At 46.4% G+C, this 26,667-nt stretch overlaps 1 protein-coding gene across 10 annotated transcripts in view; it reads right to left on the bottom strand.

The window, feature by feature from the left end:
- Positions 1-10,837: 10,837 nt before the first annotated feature.
- Positions 10,838-26,667, bottom strand: part of GJC1 (gap junction protein gamma 1) — a 37,261-nt gene continuing 21,431 nt past the window's right edge. For 4 of the 10 annotated variants that reach the window (XM_024450527.2, XM_047435078.1, XM_047435079.1 and 1 more), the window contains exons 2-4: positions 24,128-24,203; positions 21,322-22,571; positions 15,182-20,848 (exon numbers count right to left, since the gene is read on the bottom strand). In XM_024450527.2, coding sequence (XP_024306295.1) covers positions 21,361-22,551 — 1,191 coding nt within the window. In that variant the 5' untranslated portion in view covers positions 22,552-22,571; positions 24,128-24,203 and the 3' untranslated portion in view covers positions 15,182-20,848; positions 21,322-21,360. Of the gene's footprint in view, positions 11,847-14,296; positions 14,374-15,124; positions 15,156-15,181; positions 22,572-24,127; positions 24,204-26,667 lie in introns of those variants that run through there. The other 6 variants (XM_024450526.1, NM_001080383.2, NM_005497.4 and 3 more) reach the window with 2 other exon arrangements.

Below are 26,667 nucleotides of genomic sequence, written 5' to 3' on the forward strand. Positions count from 1 at the left end.
GAGAGAGAATTGCTTGAACCCGGGAGGCAGAGGTTGCAGTGAGCTGAGGTCACACCACTGCACTCCAGCCTTGGCGACAGAGCAAGGCTCTGTCTCAAGAAAAAAAAAAAATGGTCAGTGCAGAGTCACCAGATGCCTCTCAGCCTCGGACCAAACCCTGGAGCCCTAAGTGTCCCCTGCGTGGGTAGGCAAGCGGATGTCAGAGAGGCACCGAACTCTCTGCCTTTGTCTTGCCTGCCTAGGGATGCCAGTTCACCTTTTCCCAACTGGCCAGGAGGAAATAAAGCTCCACAGGTTGGAGTGGAGAATCAGATCTGGCCCAAACAGAACATCTGAAAAGACTGACTTTGGTTTCAGAACTGGTTATCGGCAGCTCTGATGGAGTGATTCCTAAACAACATGGGTGGAACCAGGAATTTGAAATTTGCAGTGAAGGCCACCTATTGCAAGGAATTCCCAGGAACCCTTATTTTTCAAAAGTAGAAATTCCTTTGGCCAGGAGCAGTGGCTTATGCCTATAATTTTATTACTTTGGGAGGCTGAGGTGGGAGGATCACTTGAGTGAGCCCAGGAGTTCAAGACCTGCCTGAGCAATATAGTGAGACCTTGTCTCTACAAAAAACTTTTTAAAAATTAACCGGCCGGGCGCAGTGGCTCACACCTGTAATTCCAACACTTTGGGAGGCCGAGGCGGGTGGGATCACGAGGTCAGGAGTTTGAGACCAGCCTGGCCAATATGGTGAAATCAAATCTCTACTAAAAATACAAAAATTAGCTGGGCGTGGTGGTGCATGCCTGTAGTCCCAGCTACTCGGGAGGCTGAGGCAGGAGAATTGCTTGAACTGGGAGGTGGTGGTTGCAGTGAGCCGAGATGGTGCCACTGCACTCCAGCCTGGGTGACAGAGCGAGACTCTGTCTCAAAAAAAAAAAAAAAATTCGCTAAGCATGGTGGTGTGGGCCTGTAGTCCCAGCTACATGGGAGGCTAACACAGAGCAAGACTCTGTCTCAAAAAAAAAAAAAAAAGGAAGGAAAAAGAAAATCTTTGGATAAAATCACCATTCCAGGTTGCCTCCGAATCATCCCCCTCACCCCTCACTTTTTTTTTTCTTTTTTGTCTGTCGCCCAGTCTGGAGTGTAGTAATGCATCATAGCTCACTGCAGCATTGAACACTGGGGCTCAAATAATCTTCCCACATCAGCCTCCTAAGTAGTTGGGACCACAGGTGCTGGCCATCATGCCTGGTTAATTTTCTTCTTTTTTTTCTTTTTTTTTTTTTTTTAGACTGAGCTTGCTCTGTCACCCTAGTGGAGTGGTGCCATCTTGGCTCACTGCAACCTCCACCTCCAGGGTTCCAGGGATCTTTTCACCTCAGCCTCCCACGTAGCTGGGATTACAGGTGCGTGCCACCACGCCTGGCTAATGCCTGGCCAATTTTTTTTGCACAGGGGCTGGGTGCAGTGGCTCAGCCTATAATCCCAGCACTTTGGGAGGCTGGGGAGGGTGGATCATGAGGTCAGGAGTTCGAGACCAGCCTGGCCAACATGGTGAAACCCCATCTCTACTAAAAATACAAAAATTAGCGATGTGGTGGCGGGTGCCTGTAATCCGTAATCCCAGCTGTAATCCCAGGCAGGAGGATTGCTTGAACCTGGGAGGCGGAGGTTGCAGTGAGCCGAGATTGTGCCAGTGCACTCCAGCCTGGGCTACAGAGCGAGACTCCATCTCAAAAAACTAAAACTAACTAAATAAATAAATCTAATACATCCAAAATATTCTCATACCAACATATAATCAACATAAAATAATTATTGAGATGGTACATCCTTTTTTTTTTTGTACAAAGCCTTTGAAATCAGGGATGCATTGTGCCCAATTTCAAACTCAGCAGCTACATGTGGCTATTACAGATACTGTTAAGAAGCAACATTTACATCCAGGAAGCTTTGAAAGAAGGAAAGGACAGAAGAGAAAACAGACAACTATGTGTGAAAGACTTAGGTCAGGAGCAGCAGACACTGCCTCCTTAAAGGTCAGAGGGAACCTTTGTGTATAGTCCTTTCTAGAAGGCAAGAGATGGCCGGGCGCAGTGGCTCATGCCTGTAATCCCAGCACTTTGGGAGGCTGAGGTGGGCAGATCACGAGGTCAGGAGATGGAAACCAGCATGGCCAACATGGCGAAACCCCGTCTCTACTAAAAATACAAAAAAATTAGCCAGGCGTGGCGGTGCGCACCTGTAATCCCAGCTACTCTGGCGGCTGAGGCAGAAGAATCGCTTGAACCCAGGAGGCAGGGGTTGCAGTGAGCCGAGATGGTCCATTGTACTCCAGCCTGGGTGACAGAGCAAGACTCCATCTCCAAAAAAAAAAAAGAAGAAGAAGAAGAAGGCAAGAGACAAGTCAGGCTGATGTTGGCAGGATCAAGGAATTTTAACTTAATCTAGAGTGAGAGACCTAGATTTATCCTGCCCTGAAAGGGGCTCTGGCTCCCAGGAACTTGCTTTAGGCAAAAGAAGATTTCTGTCAATCTTTCCAGAAGATCAGCAGGAGAGAGAAGCAGCTCCAGCCCAAGGCTTCATGCTGAGGAAGATTCTTGAAGACTTTCAGCTGAGCCCAGAAACCCAGTGCCTGCGGCCTAGGCTCTTCAGGCCTTTGGTGTTGAAAGCAAAGGTGGGAAATAAACACCAGTCAGTGGATCATGTCCTCTAAGAGGCCAAAGCCGTTACAACCTGGAGACCACCCCTGGCGACAGCTCCTGAAATGTGCCCTGACAGCCCTTGCCATGCGCAGGAGTCCTTAGGAGGCCTGTTCACCACCGAGACTTCGCCAAGTCCCCATGAGGTTGATGAGGCCATGAAGCCATGCCCTCCACCTCAGTCACAGGCGGCATTCCAAGTCAGCTATCAGGACTAAGTGCCACTTGGCTCCTCAGAATGCTGACAGTGTGGCCAGGCACAGTGGCTCACACCTGTAATTCCAGCACTTTGGGAGGCGGAGGCAGGTGGCTCACTTGAGCTCAGGAGCTAGAGAACAGCCTGGCCAACATGGTAAAACCCCGTCTCTACTAAAAATACAAAATTTAGCTGTGCGTGGTGGCTGGTGCCTGTAATCCCAGCTACTCGGGAGGCTGAGACAAGGGGATTGCTTAAACCTGGGAAGGGGAGGTTGCAGTGAGCCAAGATCATGCCGCTGCACTCCAGCCTGGGTGACAGAGGGAGGCTCTGTCTCAAAAAAAAGAACACCCCAATGCAAGAGGCCCAGGGGCCTTCAGAGCGTGGAGAGCAGCAAGGGGTCCCCAAGAGACACCTTTGCTTTGCACAAGGCTATTCACGTGGCCCATCTGACTACAGGAGGAGACCAAGCCTGGGCCACCACTGGGTGCAGGGGCTAGGACAGTTATCACTTACACTGGCTCCATGTGGCCCCAGGGGCAGCCCAGCCTGAGGTCTCCACTCGCTACACTCAGTCCTCCAGGCCTGGCTACCTCCTTAGGCCACGCTGGTGTTGGACCCCGAAGGGTTAATTGCTGCTGCCCTCACCCCCACAGACCCCTCTGTTCAGCCCTGGCCCTCCGCCACCTGAACCCCTGCCCGCTTGGCAGCCTCAGGCTTCCTGACAAGTGTCTGACCGGCTGCCAATCTCCACTCTCCCCAAGAGCCGTCTGCTTCTCTCTGGCAGCCGCGGTGCCCACTTGGGTTTAAAAATAAACTCGCTATCTGCCTTTCCTCCAGCAGAATCCCAGGCACTTCTTCCATGTGGAGCTGGATCCCAGCCGCCCCCGAAAGCACCATGTCGCCGTCATCTCAGCGGCCCCTGCGAGGAACACGTTCTACGACTCCATTGTAGGGACTTTGCTGCAGAAAACTCCATTTTATTGTGGGGCACCTGTCACTTCTCCCATCATTTCTGGGTGGAGGATATAAGTGCAGGAGTGGGGTAGAGGCGTAGGGCTGCTCTAAGGGGTATGGGGGTTCCAGGATGGCTCAGACAGGTGTCTCTGCAAAACCAGCATCTCCAGCCTCAGTGGGGCACTGTGTGGCCTTCACACCCACAGTGCCCGGGGTTCCCTCCCCTCTTCCTGCCATTTAATTTCTCCTCCTCTGCTCTCTTCAGAACTCACCCTGTCCCACCCCTTTTCTCCCTGATGGCCTCTTCCCTCATGCTCCTAGGAGAAAGGCCAGCTCCCAAGCTCCCAGCTTGCTTCTTCCCAGCACCTTCAGGCTCTTCCCCAAGGGCTAATCCCTCCCACTTTGCTTCGAGCCCCTGCCCCTCGTACCACTTCAGGCCATGGTTCTGCCATTTACCAATCCTCTCCCCCATGTTTCCTGCTCCTTCCCATAACCCAGCCCTTTTCACCCTTAAACACAAACCACCACCCCAACCACCCCCAGCCCCAGCGCCTCCGCAGCCCCACTGCACCCTGGCACTGCCGCTCCCACTGCCGCCGCTCCCACTGCCACAGTTCCCACTGCTGTCCGGTCCTTGGGGCAAACAATGCGGGCTGCCAACTCCAAACCGGCCTCCTGCTCATGCCACCACCTGCTCCAGTCTTACAGGCTGAGCACCACAGACCCTCCTCCCAGCGTGGCTGTGGCCAGAGCTCTGGCTCACCTGCCCCTTCCCTGCTCGCCTCTCCAGCCCGTTTCAGCCCATCTTCCCCGCTAGGCTCCTGCCTTGGGAATTTCTTTCTGTTCCTGTTCCTTGAAAGCTGTCACCCTTGGACCTTCCCCCGCATTTATGATTTCCTCCCATTTCATTTATTTTTATTTATTTTTGAGATGGAGTCTCACTCTGTCACCTAGGCTGTAGTGCTTTGGCACAATCTCGTCTCACTGCAGCCTTCACCCCCCCAGGCTCAAGTGATTCTCCCGCCTCATGTCCCCCGAGTAATTGAGACTACAGGCGTGTGCCACCACACCTGGCTAATTTTTGTATTTTTTGTAGAGATGGGGTTTTGCCATGTTGCCCAGGCTGGTCTTGAACTCCTACATTCAAGCAATTCAGCCTCCCAAAGTGCTGGATTACAGGGGTGAACCACCACTTCTGGCCTCCAGCCCACTTTATATGACTAACTCCTACTCATCTGTTAGGTGGCAATTTATCCATCACTGCTCCAGAAAGCCAGCCTGGGTGAGATGCCTCTGCCCTGTGCTCCTGGCGCACTTTCTGATCAGTTCCCTGGGTCCAAGCACGCAGCACCCTGAGCCCTGACAGCCTGTCCATCCCCCTCAGCAGCGTCGGCCCCTTGAAGAGTGGGACGGGGTCTGCCTGTTACAGTGTCATAGTTCCAGGATGGAATCTGGTGCCTGCAACATGAGTGGTGCTTAATAAATGCTTGTGGAGTGAACTGCTCAGTGCTACACGAGACTAGAACAAATGGGCAAATGTAAAATGGGACCAGAAAATCCAGACTGGCTCACAACTGTTTTTACTTTTATTGGTTCTTTTATTTTTATTTATTTATTTATTCATTTATTTTTGAGATAGGGTCTTGCTCTGTTGGCCATGCAGTGGCTCCATCATGGCTCACTGCAGCCTCGACCTCCCAGGCTCAAGTGATCCTTCCACCTCAGCTTCCTGAGTAGCTACGACTATAGGCGTGCCACCATACCCAGTTAATTTTAGTTATTTGTTTATCTATTTTATTTTATTTTATTTTATTTTATTTTATTTTATTTTATTTTATTTATTTAAAGACGGAGTCTCGCTCTATCACCAGGCTGGAGTGCAGTGGTGTGATCTCAGCTCACTGCAACCTCCACCTCTTGGGTTCAAGCAATTCTCCTGCCTCAGCCTCCCGAGTAGCTGGGACTACAGGTGTGAGTCACCACGCCCAGGTAATTTTTGTATTTTTAGTAGAGACAGCAGGGTTTCACCATGTTGGCCTGGATGGTCTTGAACTCCTGACTCAGGTGATCCACCTGCCTCGGCCTCCCAATGTGCTGGGATTACAGGCGCAAGCCACTGCTCCTAGCCCCTATTTTATTTTATTTTATTATTTTTTTGAGACGGAATTTCGCTCTTATTGCCCAGGCTGGAGTGCAATGGCACAATCTTGGCTCACCGCAACCTCTGACTCCCGGGTTCAAGCGATTCTCCTGCCTCAGCCTCCTGAGTAGCCAGGATTACAGGCATGCACCACAACGTCCGGCTAATTTTGTATTTTTAGTAGAGATGGGGTTTCTCCATGTTGGCCAGGCTGGTCTCGAACTTCTGACCTTGTGATTCGCCTGCCTCGGCCTCCCAAAGTGCTGGGATTACAAGCGTAAGCCACTGCACAAGGCCTATTTTTATTTTTTTTGAGACAGAGTCTCATTCTGTCGCCCAGGCTGGAGTGCAGTGGGGCAATCTTGGCTCACTGCAACCTCCATCTCCCGGGTTTAAGCAATTCTCCTGCCTCAGCCTCTTGAATAGCTGGGATTACAGGTGTGTGCCACCACACCCACCTAATTTTTATATTTTTAGTAGAGATGGGGTTTCTCGAACTCCCGACCTCAGGCAATCCGCATGCCTTGGCCTCCCAAAGTGCTGGGATTACAGGCGTGAGCCACCATGCCCAGCCCCAGTTAATTTTAATTTTAATTTTTGTGGAGACAGGGTCTCAATATTTGCCCAGGCTGGTCTTGAACTCCTGGGCTTAAGCAATCCTCCCTCCTTGGCCTACCAAAATGCTGGGATTACAAGTATGAGCCACCGTGCTTGGCTGACAACTATTCTGCTTAACTGGAGTTTAAACTGAAATTTCAGTTATCTTTGGGATGTGGAGGCAAGACAGTTTCATTTGAGACATACCCCATGGCACATGCACAATGTAGAAATGTCTTTTCTGGCCGGGCGCAGTGGCTCATGCCTGTAATCCCAGCATTCTGGGAGGCTGAGATGGGTGGATCACGAGGTCAGGAGTTTGAAAGCAGCCTGGCCAAAATGGTAAAACCCCGTCTCTACTAAAAGTACAAAAATTAGCCAGGCGTGGTGGCATAGGCTTGTAATCCCAGCTACTTGAGAGGCTGAGGCAGGAGAATTGATTGAACCCCAGAGGCTCAGGTTGCAGTGAGCTGAGATTGCACCACTATACTAGCCTGGGCAACAGAGCAAGACTCGTCTCAAAAAAAAAAAAAAAAAAGAAAAAGAAAACCAAGCCTAATGACCAGTGTTGTTGAAAAGAGGCTGGAGCCAGACGCGGTGGCTCACGCCTGTAATCCCAGCACTTTGGGAGGCCAAGGTGGGAAGATTGCTTGAGCACAGAGTTTGAGATGAGTATGGGTAACATGGCAAGACCTCATCTCCACATAAAATATAAAAAATTAACTGGCTGTGGTGGTGCGCACTTGTGGTCCCAGTTACTTGGGAAGCTGAAGTGGGAGGATCACTTGAGCCCAGGAGGTCGAGCCTGCAGTGAGCTGAGCTCACACCACTGCACTCCAGCCTGGGTAACTAAATTTAATATGGCTTTCAGTTTTTCTGAAATTAAAAACCACATACCAATCCTTGTTCAGAGAATTACTATATAAGGACACTTGAAATTACTATCCGTGTTTACAGATGAGTAAGTGCATGTGTGCATTTATTTTTCGTTTTTATTTTTTAGACACAAGATCCCACTCTGTTGCCGAGGCTGAAGTGCGTTGGCGTGATCATAGCTCACTGCAGCCTGACCTCCTGGGCTCAAGCAGTCCTCCTGCTTCAGCCTCCCGAGTAGCTGGGATTACAGGAATGTGCCACCACACTCGGCTAATTTTTTGTATTTTCAGTAGAGATGGGGATTTCTCCACATTGGTCAGGCTGGTCGTGAACTCTCGAACTCAGGTGATCCACCCGCCTCAGCCTCCCAAAGTGCTGGGATTACAGGCATGAGCCACCGCATCCAGCCAATTTTTTTTTTTTTTTTTTTGAGATGGAGTCTTGCTCTGTCGCCCAGGCTGGAGTGCAGTGGTGCGATCTCGGCTCACTGCCAGCTCCGCCTCCCGGGTTCACGCCATTCTCCTGCCTCAGCCTCCCGAGTAGCTGGGACTACAGGCGCCCGCCACCACGCCCAGCTAATTTTTTTGTATTTTTGGTAGAGATGGGGTTTCACCATGTTAGCCAGGATGGTCTTGATCTCCTGACCTCGTGATCCGCCTGCCTCAGCCCCCCAAAGTGCTGGGATTACAGGCATGAGCCACCGCACCTGGCCAATTTTTTGTGTGTATGTGACAAGGTCTTGCTTTATTGCCCAGGCTGGAGTGCAGTGGCGTAGTCTTGGCTCACTGCAACCTGTTTCCTGGGTTCAAGCAATTCTGCTGTCTCAGCCTCCCGAGTAGCCGGGATCACAGGTGTGTGCCACCACGCCCAGCCAATTTTTGTATTTTTAGTAGAGATGGGGTTTCGCCATGTTGGCCAGGCTGGTCTTGAATTCCTGAACTTAGGTGATTCACCCGCCTCAGCCTCCCAAAGTGCTGAGATTATAGGCATGAGCCACCATGCCCGGCCTAAATTTTTTTTTTTTTTTTGGAGGTGAAGTCTTGCTCTGTCACCCAGGCTGGAGTGCAGTGGCGCGATCTTGGCTCACGGCAAGCTCTGCCTCCCGGGTGCACGCCATTCTCCTGCCTCAGCCTCCCGAGCAGCTGGGACTACAAGCACCCACCACCACACCTGGTTAATTTTTTTTTTTTTTTTGTATTTTTAGTAGAGACGGGGTCTCACCGTGTTAGCCAGGATGGTCTCAATCTCCTGACCCCGTGACCCGCCCGTCTTGGCCTCCCAAAGTGCTGGGATTACAGGCATGAGCCACCACGCCCGGCCCGGCCTAAACTGTGTGTGTGTGTGGAAATGGGAGAATTGCTGTGTTGCCCAGGCTGGTCTTGAACTCCCGGCCTTAAACTATCCTCCTGCCTTGGCCTCCCAAAATGTTAGGATTATAAGCATGAGCCGCCATGCCCGGCCACATATATGCTTTTAAAAAGACAATGCTAATAATGCCAAATTTTTTTTTTTTTGAGGGATGGAGCAATTATTGATGTCTTTTGGTTTCTCTTTATTTTCTGAATTGTCTCTATTTTAAAATAAGGAACTTGTAGTATCTTCATAACCAGAAAACAATAAGTAATTAAAACTCAGAATAACCCCCTCAAAAGAAGGCAATGGTATTTACAGTGGGAAAAAAAAAAGTCAGCTGGGTGCAGTGACTCACACTTGTAATCTCAACACTTTGGGATGCTGAGACAAGAGAATCACTTGAACCCAGGAATTCAAGACCAGCCTGGGCAACACAGTGAGAACCCCATATCCACAGAAAAATTTAAAAATTAGCCGGATGTAGTGGCATGTGCCTGTAGTCCTAGCTGCTTGGGAGGCTGAGGTGGGAGGATCACTTGAGCCCAGGAGATCCAGGCTGCAGTGAGCTATGATCATGCTACTGCACTTCTGCCTGAGTAACAGAGCAAGACCCTTTCTCAAAACAAAACAAAACAAAACAAAACAAAACAAAACAAAAACTAATTGAACTCTATGTACTGTAAGCAGGTATATTTATTGTCTGTAAATTATGCCCCCATAAAGTTAATGTTTAGAAGCTAAAAATGCCTTTAGATGGCCTACATTCATTTCAAAATGTGTATTCTGGCACCTAAGTTATAATCTTTATGGAAGTCTAATTCATGTACACTGGCAGTAGGGGTTCCTGGTCAATTTGCAAGTGTTCTCTTCAAGACAAAGTAAGTTCTCTAATTTTGGTGCCACCAATTTAGGATCTGGAGGTCTGTAGCCTGCTTTATCAAAGACAACAATTGTAATTTGGCTGAATAAATGGTTTGCTAAGCAAAGAGTAGACATATGTATATGCTTGTATGTGCACATATTTCTGGGAAGAAACGGTAGACTGAACAGTGGTCACCTATGAGGAGTAAGAAGACTCGGGAGCATGGGGGGGACTTAATTTTCTTTTTTTCTTTTTTTGAGATGGAGTCTCCCTCTCTTGCCCAGGTGATCTGTCTCGTGATTCGCCTGCCTCGGCCTCCCAAAGTGCTGGGATGACAGGCGTGAGCCACTGAGCCCGGCCCGTGTTTTTTTTTTTTAAGACAGAATGTTGCCGGGTACAGTGGCTCAAGCCTGTAATTCCAGGATTTTGAGAGGCCCAGGCAGGCGGATCAACTGTGGTCGGGAGTTCGAGACCAGCCTGACCAACATGGAGAAATCCCGTCTCTACTAAAAATACAAAATTAGCTGGGTGTGGTGGCGCGTGCCTGTAATCTCAGCTACTCGGGAAGCTGAGGCAGGAGAATTGCTTGAACCCGGGAGGCGGAGGTTGAGGTGAGCTGAGATCGCGTCATTGCACTCCAGCCTGGGCAACAAGAGCGAAACTCCGTCTCAAAAAAAAAAAAAAAAAGACAGAATGTCTCACTCTGTCACTCAGGCTAGAGTGCAGTGGCATGATCTTGGCTCACTGCAACCTCCGCCCCCCGGGTTCAAGCGATTCTCACGCCTCAGTCTCCTGAATAGCTGGGATTACAGGCGCCCACCACCACACCCGGCTAATTTTTGTATTTTTTGTCAAGATGGGTTTTCGCCATGTTGCCCAGGCTCGTCTCGAACTCCTGGGATGAAGTGATCCTCCCACCTCAGGACTCCCAAAGTGCTGGGATTACAGGAGTGTGCCACCACACCCAGCTTTTTAAAAAAATCTTTTATACTGTATATATTTTATCTTTCACTGTACCTTTTGTTTAGATATGTCTAGATATATAAATACCATTGTGTTGCCATTGTCTACAGCATTCAGTATAGACACACACTGGATGTGTTTGTAGCCTAGGAGCAATAGGCTATAGAGCCTGCGTGTGTAGTAGGCTACGCTGTATGGGTTAGTGTGAGTTCTTTCTATATTTGTACAATGACAGAATCACCTGATGTTAAGTGTTGCATGACTGTAACAGTTCCCACCCTGTACCATGTCTCTTCTAGGCCAAAGCCCCCTCCCCAGAGCAGACCCCTAGCACTCCACAGCAGGATCACAAGCTGGTCTCTGGTCCCAGACCCTGCGGATCCTTGTCGACGCTTCCAGTCTCGATCACTTCCCGATGGTTTGAATGTGAAGTCAACAATCCACGGAACAATTTGCACTTACTGTTTCTAGGGCTTTTGCAGTTAAAAGTGTCTTCAGTTTCCCCGATCTTCCTGCAGATGCCCCTGCAGTCAGAAGCTGAGTCTGTCCCTTCTCCCAGCAGCAGCTGGGTACAGGATCTAACATCAGTCTCTGCCTGCTGGGCAGAAGCCACAGCTGCAACGTGCTTTCAGAAAAATGGGCCAGGCCAAAGGAGCTCCCCGTCAGTGCTTTTCAGTGTTCCCAGCACAAAGATAAAATTACACTTCCATAGGAGTACACAAACTAAAAATAAAATTTAAAGAAAGCGATCTAGTTCTGTATCATTTTCCCCATGGTCGGGTCCCATTCGGGTCACTGGACATGCACTGAAATCGCTTATGAACAGCTGCTTGGTTCTGCCTCGCCTGGAGTTTACGGCTGTCAGCATCCCCAGCCCTCTGTGATGGCCCCAGGAGAGCCAGGCAGACAAAGATACTTGTGGCGGTTTGGCTGAGGGCAAAGACAAAGTCGGCAGTTCTTTCCTCCAGGCATGAGCAGGGGGCTTCCTTAGGTTTTTCTTTCAGAAGCCCCTATCTAGCTTAGAGTAGGCATAGCACGTCAAGGGCAGGGCAAGGAAATGCTGTGCCGTTTCCTTAGGATCCAGGGGGCGGGAGAAAAAGTCAATTGACAAAGAATGCTTGTCACCATGTCATGTCAGCAGCTCTTTTTCTGGTGCTTCCCAATCCTGAGTCACTTCCTGTTTCTAAGTTCCTCCAAGATGTCATTAACTGTAGGAAGGAGAAATATCTAAGTAATGACACCAACTCTTGCTTACATACAAGGTGAGATGATTCTTTTCACATGGGCCTAGTCATAGTCATGATCCCGAAGTGCTAAATGCGTATTTTATTTATTTATTTTGAGATGGAGTCTCACTCTGTTACCCAGGCTGGAGTGCAGTGGTGCGATCTTGACTCACTGCAACCTCTGCCCTCCTGCCCCAGATTCAAACAATTCTCTTGCCTCAGCCTCCCGAGTAGCTGGGATTACAGGCGCCTTCCACTGCGCCCAGCTAATTTTTGTATTTTTAGTAGAGACGGGGTTTCACCATCTTGGCCAGGCTGGTCTTGGAACTCCTGACCTCGTGATCCACCCGACTCAGCCTCCTAAAGTGCTGGGATTACTGGCGCGAGCCACCCCTCCCGGCCACTAAATCCATTATTTCATGATGAAACAGGAAAAGTTCCCTTGTCCCCTTGCAGGGTGTGCAATGGGAGAGTGGCTCACTTCTTCAGTGCCCTGCTGCTCAAACCTCAAACTTCTAGGTGAGCATACAGATGGGCAGGCTGTGGGGCTCTGACCCCAAGACAGTGTCCAGGGGTGAATGTTTACAGCTGAAGCCCCAGTGGGCGTATGTTACAGTGTGTGCTTTTAGTTTTGCTCTTTTAGTTTAGCCGTCTATAGGCGGCTTGTGTTAGTTCAATTAGACCTCTGCCTCATTGCAAGGACAGAGGGCTTTCTGTATCCCGAGGTTCTTGCCTTAATGTACTGGAAGAATCGGATCGCACGTGGGCTTGGAGAATGAGTGCAAGGTTTTATTGAGTGGAAGTAGCTCTCAGCAGATGGGGGAGCCAGAAGGGAGATGCTTTTCCCCTGGAGTCCGGCCGCTTGGCGGCCCGGGCTCTCCTCTGACTGCCCAGGCCAAACTCCATGTCATTCTGCTTCTGCAGGTCGGTGGCCTGCCAGCGCACCGGTGCCTGTCAGTGTTCCTCCGGACATCCAGCCACCTGCATCTGCCTACTAGGGTCTAGGGAATGGGGGCGAAGCATTTGGGCAGGAAATGCCAGTCCTCACCTAGGTCCGTGGGGGTGGAGCCCTAGCCAGGAACCATGCCATCCTCTATGCAGCACTTCCCTTCCCCCCTTCCATATCATTTAAAGGGACCACCTCTTCCCTTCCCAGCACTCCCATATCAATGATATTTTGAAACATGCTTAACATCTAGTCAAGGATGGCACACTCTTCCATCAACCCTGCCCCAACCTCAAAATCACTGATAGATTATTTGGCTGAACCCAGAGGAGTCCCTGGATCCTCTATGTAGGTCTCCCCTCCAGGGAGCCAGCAGTCATTCTGAGCTGACTGATGAGATGAAACTCATGTGCTATGCCAGGTCTAAACCTTCTTGAACAGAGGAGGTAATTCAAAACAATTCTCTTTCCCCTTTTATTTTGGCTACTTCAAACAATTTTTTAAAAATGAGTGGTTTTCAAACTATAATGTACATAAGAATCACCAGGTAATTTGGGGGTAATGCAACTATTATGCATCTTTCTAGTGTGGTTACTTAACTGTATGCATTTCTAACTATGCAACAGTTTTACTCCATGTAAATTATATCTTAATAAAAGATTTAAAAAAATGAATCCCCCAGAGAACTTGTTAGTTCTGATTATGTAGGTCTGCAATGGATCTAAAATACACACACACACACACACATACACACACACACACGTATATATATAGAGAGACAGACAGACAGGGTCTCGCTCTTGCTCTGTCATCCAGGGTGGCGTGCAGTGGCGCAACCACGGCTCACTGTAGCCTCCACCTTGGCGGTCAACCGATCTTCCTGCCTCAGCCTCCCAAGGAGCTCGGACTACAGGTGAGTACTACCATGCCTAGCTAATTTTTTGCTTATTTTTTGTAGAGACAGGGTCTCACTATGTTGCCCAGACTAGGAATCTATATATCGCTATCTCTCTCTGTTATATATATTTTTTAATTATTATTTTTTTTGAGACAGAGCCTAGCTCTGTTGCCCAGGCTGGAGTGCAGTGGCACAATCTTGGCTCACTGCAAGCTTCGCCTCCCGGGTTCACGCCATTCTCCTGCCTCAGCCTCCTGAGTAGCTGGGACTACAGGTGCCCGCCACCATGGCCGGCTAATTTTTTTGTATTTTTAGTAGAGATGGGGTTTCACCATGTTAGCCAGAATGGACTCAATCTCCTGACTTCGTGATCCGCCCGCCTTGGCCTAGGAATCTGTATGTTAATAGCATTCCTGTTACTTCTAACAAGTAGTCCAATGGTCCAATGGTTACATTTTGAAAAAGTATTATAATAGACAGATGCAAGGTCCACCCAGCAAAGATGCCCCTAAACCCTTGTGAGCACCCGCTAACAGCTGCTTCTGGACCCTCCTCTTGCAAGAACAAAGGATACTGGATTGTACAGACCTGGATTCTGTTCCCAAATTTGCCTCTGCTTCCATATTCTTCATGCCGTTGTGCAACCTGCTTCCAATGGGAGATATCTAAAGGAAACAAACCCTAAAAGTATCATATAAGCCCTTAAAACCTTAAAAACAGTTTTCAAACTCTGTGTAGCAAAGAAAACAGATTTGATGCCACAGGTATTAGTCTCCGTTCTGATGGCAAATCTGCCAAAGAATCTACTTTCAAAACTAACAGATCCAGAGTGATTTAACTGCTCCAATAGCGTTCAAATAGCTCACAAATTCATTACCAAATATGGTTGGCTGACCAGTTTACAATCTGTGCTGCTGAGGGTGAGCTGTTCGTGACCTACCAGTCGGCTATCCCGTGTCTGAGGGAACAAGAGGGCATTGCTGCTCCCTTCTCAGGAGGTGGATTAGGCTTTTCAACGACACTGCTGACTCTGCTGCCGCAAAGGGTCCCTTGCAGAAGGCACTCCAGGAAAGGCCTCCAGAACCGAGGGAAGTCAAGGGTGCATTCCCAGCTTTTGAGCTTAGACCCCAGCCTCCCCCGCCAGGCTACCTATATTCCCCAGATTGCGACGCCACGAATATGCTGACCTATTTAGCCACAGTAGTCCCAGAAGAGCTTCAAATCAGCTATGAAAAAAGGCATCTTTTAAGCCCAAACCTTTAGTTGGAAATTTCTCTGCTCAAGTATTCCCACCAAGATCAACTTACAGGTGAAATGTATGAGGAAGAGATTTTCGTATTAGCTTTTCTGTGTATATCACTAAGCTCTTGGGTATTATCTTATATAAATAGGGTAAAATCCTCAATATGACATTACCTGGCAGCTGATTTTCAGTTGGTTTCGAATTCTGAGAAAGGAAACACAAACCACAAATGAATCTTCAAAACTGTATTTGGAATTGACAAAATCTTCCTAGAGACAAGGCCCTGAGCACACAGAGTCCGTCTCCACCATGAAAATATTACATAAGCTGTACAGAACAAAATTAGCAATGAGTGATCTTTGGCACTAGAACAGGTGATTCCTTAGCTGTTCATGCAATATCCAAACTGCACACCACATGACATTAGATTGCTGGTTAACCATTTAATTTTACATTTAAATTATCTTAAAAGGCTGGAAGTCCTAGCTAAGTTTTCAATATCAATATGCTACCCATGTCATAACACTTAGTGCCTGAGGTAGAGATTTCTGTAAGAGATTTTTTTAAAACACAATTGAGAGTATAATACAGAAAAACATTTAAATCTTGGAAGCATATAGCCTGGTTCAACAAGCCAACTCTGAAATGCAGAACTAGTACCTTTTTTATTTGAGTCTCACTCCATCACCCAAGCTGGAGTGCAGTGGTGCAATCTCAGCTCACTGCAACCTCCGCCTCCTGGGTTCAAGAGATTGTCATCTCATGCCTCAGCCTCCCAAGTAGCTGTAAGTACAGGCACGTGCCACCATACCTAATTTTTATATTTTTAGTAGAGACAGTTTTGCCATGTTGGCCAGGCTGGTCTCGAACTCCTGACCTCATGTGATCCACCTGCCTTGGCCTCCCAAAGTGTTGGGATTACAGGCATAAGCCACCACACCCAGCCAGAACTATTACTTCTTTTATCTCTGTAGAAACTGCACTGGATAACTTTTTTCCTCTTTTTTGGCGACAGTCTTACTCTGTCACCCAGGCTGGAGTGCAGTGGCGCGATCTCGGCTCACAGCAACCTCTGCCTTCCAGGTTCAAGGAAATCTCATGCCTCAACATCCCGAGTAGCTGGGATTACAGGTGTGCACCACCATGCCCGGCTAATTTTTGTATTTTTAGTAGAGAGGGGGTTTTACCATGTTGGCCAGGCTTGTTTCAAACTCCTGACCTCTAGTGATCCACCCACCTCAGCCTCCCAAAGTGCTGGGATTACAGGTGTTAGCCACCATGCACAGCCGAGAACTTTCTTTTATTTGGACTCCTGATTTTAGAATACCATGGTTTCTTTTAAAAAAAAAAAAAAGTACGATTATTAACACTGATTAATAACACATGAACCAAACCCACTTAATATCATTATTAAAAACAGGCTGGGCACAGTGGCTTATGCCTGTAATCCCAGCACCTTCGGAGGCTGTGATGGGAGGATTGCTTGGGCCCAGGAGTTTGAGACCAGTCTAGGCAACATAGTGAGAGCTCTGTCTCTACAAAAAATACAAAAATTAGCCAGGTGTGGTGGTGAGCACTTGCAGACCAGCTACTTGGGAGGCTGAAGTGGGAGGACTGCTTGAGCCAAGGAGGTCCAGGCTGTAGTGAGTTGAGATTGTGCCATTGCACTCTAGCCTGGGCTCAAAACAAACCCCAAAAAACAAAACCAAACATCAATAGAACTACATAGGGACAACAGCAAATACAAATCTTTAAACACTTCATGATGTGGCCGGAATGAGTACAAGTATGCAATTCAATGATTCCAACATTTGATGGTGACTGTGAATTATTACATATTTATTACACATAAATGAGTTTAAATTTTATTTCCAAACTGCATGCAGGGACTTTATTATTACTATGAATTTTTTTTTGAGAGTTTCACTCGTTGCCCAGGCTGAAGTGCAATGGCGCAATCTCGGCTCACTGCAACCTCTACCTCCTGGGATCAAGTGATTCTCATCTCAGCCTCCTGAGTAGCTGGGATTACAGGTACCCACCACCACGCCCGGCTAATTTTTGGTATTTTTAGTAGAGACGGGGTTTCACCATGTTGGCCAGGCTGGTCTCAAACTCCTGACCTTGTGATTCGCCCACCTTGGCCTCCCAAAGTGCTGGGATTACAGGCGTGAGCCACCATGCCTGGCCAAAACCTTTGATTTTTAAAAAGGCGTTTCTTGAAGTACCTTATTAAACATTTGATTTGAAGGAAACTGTGCATGTCTAACATACTTGCCTTTTACAGAAAGCTGGCTAGCCAAAAATGTATCATCAACTATCGATTTTATTTTCAGAAGTGGACTGTCTCTTAAATGAGACAGCATAAAGTATGGACTTGTAGAAGCTGAACGAGTAAATCATGAGTGTAACTGATAACATGTAAGTCCATTCTTCGTATAAACTGCTAGAGAGTGTTTCAGACCATCACTGATGTCTGTGATAAAGAGCACCAAAGCATCACAGTCCAACTTTTTTTTTAAGCGCCAAGTTCAAACAAGTGACCAATAATAATGGTTGGTCCTTGAAGGTCTTTTACCAGAGGCCTTTTCTAATCACTTCGTAACACTTCTGAGATGTACATGGCTCCTGAAACTTGAAAACAAAGCCACAAAATGAACATTAACATTTCTTTAGGGGAAAATGCTATCTAATTTTCCCCTCGTTTGAATTAACCAAAAAAAAAAAAAAAGCCTATTTCTTTTACAAATCTTCTGAATAACGGGTTTTAAGAGCAGGCCAGGCGCGGTGGCTCACGCCTGTAATCACAGCACTTTGGGAAGCTGAGGTGGGCGGATCACGAGGTGAGGAGTTCGAGACCAGCCTGCCAGCCTGGCCAACATGATGAAGCCCTGTCTATATTAAAAATACAAAAAAAATCAGCCTGGTATGGTGGTGGTGCCTGTAATCCCAGCTACTCGGGAGGCTGAGGCAGGAGAATCGCTTGAACCCAGGAGGCGGAGGTTGCAGTGAGCCGAAATCACACCACTGCACTCCAGCCTGAGCGACAAGAGCAAGACTCTGTCTTAAGAAAAAAAAGAGCAAAGGACACACCACATCTGCATAAATCCAAGTGTGTTAAGGAACATAATCATGTTGATTGTATCCTGATTCTAGCAGGTGAAGGACTAAGCACTCAACTTGTATTTGGAGGAGAAGCAAGTGTCATGATGGAGCATGTCTTATATGGCAATTCAAAACAGTATGATTCTGATGCGAGTGAGAACTAAATGTTGGACAGGCTTTTTATACAAATCCCACCTGCATGATCCAGAACAATATTCTTACAGATTCAATGCAGACTCCACCAATGGGTTAGCTAGACATCAACAGGCTCACTTTCTTTTTTTCTTTTTTTTTTTTTGAGACAAGAGTTTCACTCTGTCTTGCAGGCTGGAGTGCAATGGTATGATCTCAGCTCACTGCAACCTCTGCCTCCTGGGTTCAAGCAATTCTCCTGCCTCAACCTCCCAAGTAGCTGGGATTGCAGGCGTCCACCCAGCACTCCTGGCTAATTTCTGTATTTTTAGTAGAGATGGAGTTTCACCATGTTGACCAGTCTGGTCTTGAACTCCTGACCTCAGGTAATCCACCCGCCTGGGCCTCCTAAAGTGCTGGGATTACAGGTGTGAGCCACCGCGCCTGGCCCATTTTCTTAATGTAAGTCCACAATATGTCATTAGGGGAGAATGACTTTGGCAAACTCATATGCTTCAAAGGCAGAAAGACATGTACTAAGAAGGCAGTTAGAGCTGGAAAATTCTTGACATAATTACAACTTTAGCAAGAGAATAAAAATAGATTTTAAAAGTGTGTGCATGTGGGGAGGTGACAGAATATCTTTATATGTACTTTAAGAAGCTGACGCGTTATCCAGACACAAAAGATAACATTCTCATCAAAACAGGCCAAGATGAAACACCAGGGGCACTCTTCACAGAAATTAAGTGGATGCTTCTGGCGCCAAATGTCTTTGCCTGGTTCTTCCTGGCATTTCTGCTTGACTCCTTCCCCCTGTATCATTCTCAAATCCCCAGCCTTTCCACTGGGCAAAGCCACTCTCTTCTCCCTCAGGCTCTGAAGAGATAACACAAATGTATGGACACTTTTTGTCCTTCAATTAAAAAACCTGCTGGAAGCTCCAGTGATGTTAAGAATTAACTGGTAGTTCTTTATCTTAGCTAGGCTTATGTATTCCAAATTTTGCCTGTTTTCTTGGAATTATATGAATTTCCTTATTAAACATTTGATTTGAAGGAAACTGTGCATGTCTATTAATTACCCATGAGGTACATGTGTATTTCTGAAATTTCTCCTTCAGTCTCACCTGAGTTTAATTTTTGCCTAAGATGTTTAGAGTTCCTGAGGTGCTTCTCTAGGCTAAAATTTAAAGATTTTTTTTTAAAAAAGCAAATAAAAGTAAATGAATGGCTAAAAGATAAGGTTAAATTTTCTAGGCTGGGCATGGTGGCTCACACCTATAATACTAACACTTTGAGAGGCTGAGGCGGGAGGATCACTTGAACCCAAAAGTTCGAGACCAGCCTGGGTAACATAGTGAGACCTCATCTCTACAAAAAAAATTTTTAAAACAGAATTAGCCGAGTATGGTGGCACATGCCTGTAGTCCCAGCTAATCAAGAGGCTGAGGTGGAATGATTGCTTGAGCCTGGGAGGCAGAGGCTGCAGTGAGCTGAGATCATGCTGCTGCACTCCAGCCTGGGTGAAAGAGGGAGACCCTGTCTCAAAAAAAAATTTCCTTAAGTTTCTTTTTTTTGGTGGGGGTAGGAATGCAGTAGAGAAACAAAAACACTGCACAAAGGGTGCAGTGTTCTACTATTCATCTAAATAATGGAGAACTGGCATTTTACAATTAAGATATAAAAAATATTCATACTTTCAGAATTTCCAAGTCAGAGGTGGCTTACAACAGCTTTCATTAGAAAAGGGTGAGACGCCCAAATAAAATGCTCCCTGGTGGAACAAAGTCCCCTTTAAACCTTTACCAAGCTCTTTCTCAGAAGCTCACAAAACTTAAGACAATGTGAACATGATGAGAAAGCAAAGCTCTCCAACATAAGGCTGAAAATGACAATAAAAGACTGCAATAAAAGACTAGTGGGATGAACATGAATGCTTGTCAGTGACAAACACATTATGCCTACAAAGAATAAATACTGCACTTCTCTTTAGGTCTATTTACAGACAGGACCCCATGACCTTTCAGGCATAAACCTCCACTGGCAGAAGTAAGAATTTAATCACAAAACTTCTATGGTAAATTATAAAAAATAAGAAATTTGGATTTAGGCCTTCTGCCATTTCCAATACAAGTAGCTTTGAGTATTCTTGGTTGACAAGGGAATGTTTGCATTTCTAATGTTAACAAAGAAAATATCCACCACTGGCTTCTTAACCAGACGGAAGCGGGCAGGTTTCTGGATAGAGGCTTAAGGCAAATCAAACAGGTTCACAACTAAGCAGCCTATTAGGGATTCCAGGCATGGCTTTGCTTTCTGAGGGACAGCTCCATATCATCTCTAGCCAGGTTTTCCACATTGCTACCAAACTGGGGACACGTTTCTGTATCAGGCTTTTGAAAGAACTTTAAGTTATATACATATACCATCAAAGCATATACTGGTGATGCTTGATATTTAAAGGAATCCTACAGTGAATCATTTATTTCCTTTGAAAATAAGGTTTTCAAAAATTGGCTACAACTCTGATCGCATGAATGAGATTCAAAGATTTCTCACATAAAAGAAAGATCTCAACCTCCTTCTACTGTGAACTTGCTTTCCAAGACTAAAAACTGGTATCTCCTCTTCAGTCTCCTTACACATCTGAAATCGTTCCTGCAATATGAGAGGCACTTTTATTAGGTGTAGCATCTATTAAAAACTCTAAAGCCAGGGTAGAATTTGCTGAACAAAGTAATAGCACTAGCCTAATAGGCATTATTTATAAGGACTTTTTCCCCTTTAATATAAAAGTATAACTACAGCAGTTCAATGTACAAATACAAAAAAAGTTCTCATACTAAAAAAAAAAAAGTACCATAATACTGTACATACAAAAACTGTTCAACAAGAATGATTTAAATATGTCTGTTCTTCTCCAGATCTGGAAGACACAAATGTAAAGTTCTGCAACTGTATTATTGCTAAGAACATGTGCCTGGGAACACTGTGTTTCCCTTTCTCTCCCTCAGCCCAGCCCCGCCTCCAGAGTCCCCTGAGCTTGGATCATGAGCCAACAGCATCCCTGAAGATAACCAGAGCCAAATGTTTACTCAATGGAAGTCATTATTCAGTGAGCTGCTGCTTACCATAAACTATGAAAAGCACAGGTTTTAAGCCCGCCAGGATTAAATCCAGACGGAGGTCTTCCCATCCCCTGATTTGCTACTGGCAGTGCTTTTGTTGGACCCAGCTTTGGACCCCACTTTGGCCTTCTTCTCCCGGGGACCATGAGGGTTGTTTTGGTGACTGTAGGCCTGAACTGCCAGATCCAAGCGTTCCTGAGCCATCCTGATCTCCCGCTGCAGAGCCTCCAGGTCAGCTGGGAGGTTCTCCTCATGGCTGCCATACTGCTGTTCCTGGGCTGTGTTGGCCTTGTTTTGCTTGTAGGCGATCTTAGCATTGGACAGTTCGGTGTACTGGATTTGATCTGGTTTGACAGCAATGTTATAGCCAGGGGGAGCAGATGGTGTATTCCAAGTGAAAGGATAATTATAAGCACCCGGATCCTCAAGTTCCCTCCTTTTACTGTTTAGTGAGTCTCGAATGGTCCCAAACCCTAAATGAAGCATCTCCCAAATGTTAAGCAAGAGGCAAAGGCCTGTAACACCATACATTATCAGAAGGAAGATGGTCTTTTCAGTGGGTCTAGAAATAAAGCAGTCTATCTTATGAGGACAAGGAAGTCTGCTGCACACATAAAACGGGTGGACTTGGAAGCCATACAGAAAATACTGCCCTATCAGAAAACCCACCTCAAACACGGTCCTTGCCAGCAACTGCAGCACATAGATTTTCATGAGCCCATCTTCCCGAATCCGTCGTCGGCCATCATGCTTAGGTTTGGGTTGGCTCTGCTCTTTATTTTCCTTATCACTTTCTAACTCCATCTCTGGATACATCATAGGATCCTCTTCGTTGTCCTCCTCCGTTTCTTCCAGAGCCCGGTGTTGTTTCCAGCGCATTGCATAGGGCTTGCTCCGAGCTGCCTTCTTGTCTGCTTCACCGTGCTCCATTTTGGCAATCTTGTGGATAGCATAGCCCAGGTACATCACAGAGGGAGTTGCCACCAGGATGATCTGGAACACCCAGAAGCGTACATGGGAGAGAGGTGCAAACGCATCATAACAGACATTCTCACAGCCCGGCTGTTCTGTGTTGCACACAAATTTGCTTTGCTCATCGTAATAGATGGATTCTCCTCCTACAGCTGTAAGGACGATCCGGAAGACAATCAGAACAGTGAGCCAGATCTTCCCCACAAATGTGGAATGGTTGTGAATCTCCTCTAGCAGGCGAGTCAGGAAGCTCCAACTCATGGTGATTGAATTGGTATGCCCTGATAAAAGTGGAAAAATACCAAAATAAAATCAACAAATATTAAATCTTAATTTAATTACTAATTATGATATCTCTAGGAACTACTGCTTTGAATACTTGAAATCTAACCTCAAGGTTCACAGTGGAACAAATGTTAGAATAAACAGCATCTCAGTTGGGTAGGGTGGCTCACGCCTGTAATCCCAGCACTTTGGGAGGCCAAGGCGGGCAGATTAGTTGAGGTCAGGAGTTAAAGACCAGCCTGGTCAACATGGTGAAACTCCGTCTCTACAAAAATACAAAAATTACCCGGGCACGGTGGTGTGCACCTGTAATCCCAGCAGCTCAGGAGGCTGAGACAGGAGAATTGCTTGAACAGAGCAAGACTCCATCTCAAAAAAAAAGAATAAACAGCATCTCACTCTCTACTATCTTCAAGAAGGTCAATTCACCTCAGTCAACACCTGTTGGCCCCACAAGGTCCCAGAAAGTATGGATTGCTTTCATATCTCCTCTGGTTTAAAAGGTAAACTTGTAGCTACTATTTACTGAGATATTTCTCAGACCTTGGTTCTTCTGTTTGTTTTTTTTTTTTTTTTTTGAGACAGTTTCCCTCTTTCGCTCAGGCTGCAGTGCAGTGGCGTGATCTTGGCTCACTGCAACCTCCGCCTCCCAGGTTCAAGTGATTCTTGTGCCTCAGCCTCCCGAGTATCTGGGATTACAGTCATGCACCATCATTTTTGTATTTTTAGTAGAGATGGGGTTTCACCATGTTGGCCAGGCTGGTCTCGAACTCCTGACCTCAGGTGATCCGCCTGCCTTGGCCTCTCAAAGTGCTGGGATTACAGGCGTGAACCACCATGCCTGGCCAGACCTAGGTTCTTTACACATACTATTATTTCATGAGACCTTCAGAATTTTGTGAGATAGAAATTTAAAAAACACACAGGTATAGTTATTCGGTCCAATCACAGAAAAACCACCACTGAGAACATAAAGGGGACACCTCGGTTGGACTCCACTGTGAAGGGGTGATTTATTAGGAAACTTAAATTTTAGACAAGTGCTAAAAGGGATTAAGAAGATGGTACAGCTACAAACTGCTGGCAATCATTAAGAACTAAAACAAAAGACAGAAGGGAACTAGGAAGATCTTCCCTAGCTAGGCTGCATCGCATACCAGATTTTGGTTTTACTTAGAAGCCCAGTAAATGGTCTTGCAATAAATATTGTACCCCTTTACTATATAACAGAATCTACAAATTATACTTCTGTACCTTATTTATGGTAGACATTAAAAAATGATTGCTAAACTGAACTGTGAGGACATTAAATCCAATCAACAGCAAATCCATTTAAAACAGCATTTTAAAGGACAGATTCTTTCTGAGATTCCCAGATCTACATCCAGGATCCAGGTAAAAACCACCTAAATGAGGTAATATATGGGAAATCCCCAATAAAGCCCCGACACAAAGTAGACTTAATTTTTAACTTGTCCTCCTCCCTCTCCCAGTTTACTTCTGCAGATTACAGATGATTTGTCAGCACCACCAAAGTTTAAACACACTTTACCTGTTGTCCAGAACTTCGGTTACCCAAAATTTTCTTAGAGAAATGATGTTTTGATTGCAATTTTTCCAGATTCCCTCTGGAAGGGAAAAAGAAAAGAGCAGGTCATAAGCTTTCTCCCACAGAAAACAATGAATCACTAAAATGCCATTTTCAGAAAGAAACAAAGTTTTCTATGTATCATAAAAATCAATGAGAATAAGATAGAAACAGGCTTGAGTTTGAATACCAGTCTTCTCCTCCCCATACAGGTGGCAGGAGAAACCATGTAACAGGTGACCCAAAGATTCTTAAGTCACCACAGTCTAAGAATATACGACAGGAAGATGCGTCAGTAGTAAAAATATGAAGCAGATGAACTCTGGCACCTATAGGAAAAAGCCAAAGCAGAAGAATTGCAGCAAATTGAAAGCAGGTCACTAAAGGCCTTGCAAAAACCTTCACCCCATCTGCTCTATTCCCTGAAGCAGCCGATACACCTCTCAGGGGGATTTGAGCAGCTAACTAGGAGCAAGCTGTTTAGCTAAAACACCCAACAGCTGGCTCTCAGTCACAGGAACACCCGTCTCCATGGGAGGTGATTTACAGATACAACTACTCACAAAAAGTCACAGAAAGAAAACACCTGCATCTGTACTGGATTAAACAGCAAAACAGAAAAGTTTCCAAGATGAATTATTGCTCATTATTAAGCTCTGGCAACTCTGCATAGCTCTGGCCAAATGTCATCCATAAGGCGCCCACATTTAGCAAATAAATTTAAAACAATTCCTGAATGTTATGTGTTTATAGTAACTTAATTAAAAGGGTGCTTTGTGTTGTTGTTTAAAGATACAGGAAAAAAAAAACTGGAACAATTTCCAAAGGAACAATGGAAAAAAAAAAAGTGAAGGCATGAAGCCGCATAAAGATTTGCACATAAGCCTGGGCAATATAGTGAGACCCTATCTTTCCAAATTTTAAAAAAATTAGCCAGGTGTGGTGGCAGTGGTGGCCACTGCAGTCCAACCTGGTAGATAGAACAACACCCTGTCTCTTACACACACACACACACACACACACACACACACACGGCCCAGCACAGTGGCTCTGGCTCACGCCTGTAATCCCAGCACTTCGGGAGGCCAAGGTGGGGGGATCACATGAGTTCAGGAGTTTGAGACCAGCCTGGGCAACATGTGAAACCTAGTCTTCACCAAACAACAACAACAACACACACCCCCAAAATTAGCATGGTGACGCACACCTGTGGTCCCAGCTACTTGGGAGGCTCAGGTGAAAGAATCACTTGAGCCCGGGAGGTAGAGGTTGCAGTGAGTTGTGATCGTGCCACTGCACTCCAGCCTAGGTGACAGCGAAACCTCAAAAAATAAAGAAGCAAAAAGATTTACATATGAAGAATCCCGGCCAAGCACGGTGGCTCATGCCTGTAATTCCAGCACTTTGGGAAGCCGAGGTGGGTGGATCACCAGCAGTCGGGAGTTTGAGACCAGCCAGACCAACATGGACTGACCAACTAACTAAAAATACAAAATTAGCCAGGTGTGGTGGTGCATGCCTGTAATCCCAGCTATTTGGGAGGCTGAGGCAGGAGAATTGCTTGAACCTGGGAGGGGGAGGTGGAGGTTGCGGTGAGCTGAGATTGTGCCATTGCACTCTAGCCTGGGCAACAAGAGCAAAACTCCATCTCAAAACAAAACAAAACAAACAAACAAAAGAATCCAGCTGGGCATGGTGGCTCACACCTGTAATCTCAGCACTTTGGAAGGCTGAAGGAGGAGGATCACTTGAACTTGGGAGCTTGAGACTGCAATGAGCTATGATCATACCACTGCACTCCTGCCTGGGCGAGAGAGGGAGACTCTAACACAATAAAATTTCCAGTACAGCTCCCATTTCTAGCCCTGTTTTCCAACTGAGCTCACCACCTCTTTTCTCATTGAATATACAAGTTATAAAACCTCAAAACAAGAAGTAAATAATATAAAATCTTTAAATGGTGATGTAAGCCAGGTTTCCAACATAGAACTCCATGATTCTCATCCACAAATTCTCTGCAGGCTCAGATTTTCCCCAAAGCCTGAAATTTCTATTTGTTCCAATAAGCCAAAATTATGAAAATACAATTAGTTAGAACTAACTCATCTGTTATATCTCCATCCACAAAGATAAATGTGTATCTTTTTTTTTTTTTTTTGAGACGGAGTTTCACTCTTGTTGTCCAGGCTGGAGTGCAATGGCGCGATCTTGGCTCGCCACAACCTCCACCTCCCAGGTTCAAGCAATTCTCCTGCCTCAGCCTCCCGAGTAGCTGGGATTACAGGTATGCACCACCACGCCTGGGTAATTTTGTATTTTTAGTAGAGACGGGGTTTCTCCATGTTGAGGCTGGTCTTGAACTCCTGACCTCAGGTGATCCGCCTGCCTCGGCCTCCCGAAGTGCTGGGATTACAGGCGTGAGCCACCACGCCCAGCCTTTTTTTTTTTCCAGACAGTCTCGCTTTTTTGGCCAAGCTGGAGTGCAGTGGCATGATCTCGGCTCA

Source organism: Homo sapiens, chromosome 17, assembly GCF_000001405.40.
Source record: "Homo sapiens chromosome 17, GRCh38.p14 Primary Assembly".
In the NCBI taxonomy this organism is placed as follows: Eukaryota; Metazoa; Chordata; class Mammalia; order Primates; family Hominidae; genus Homo; species Homo sapiens.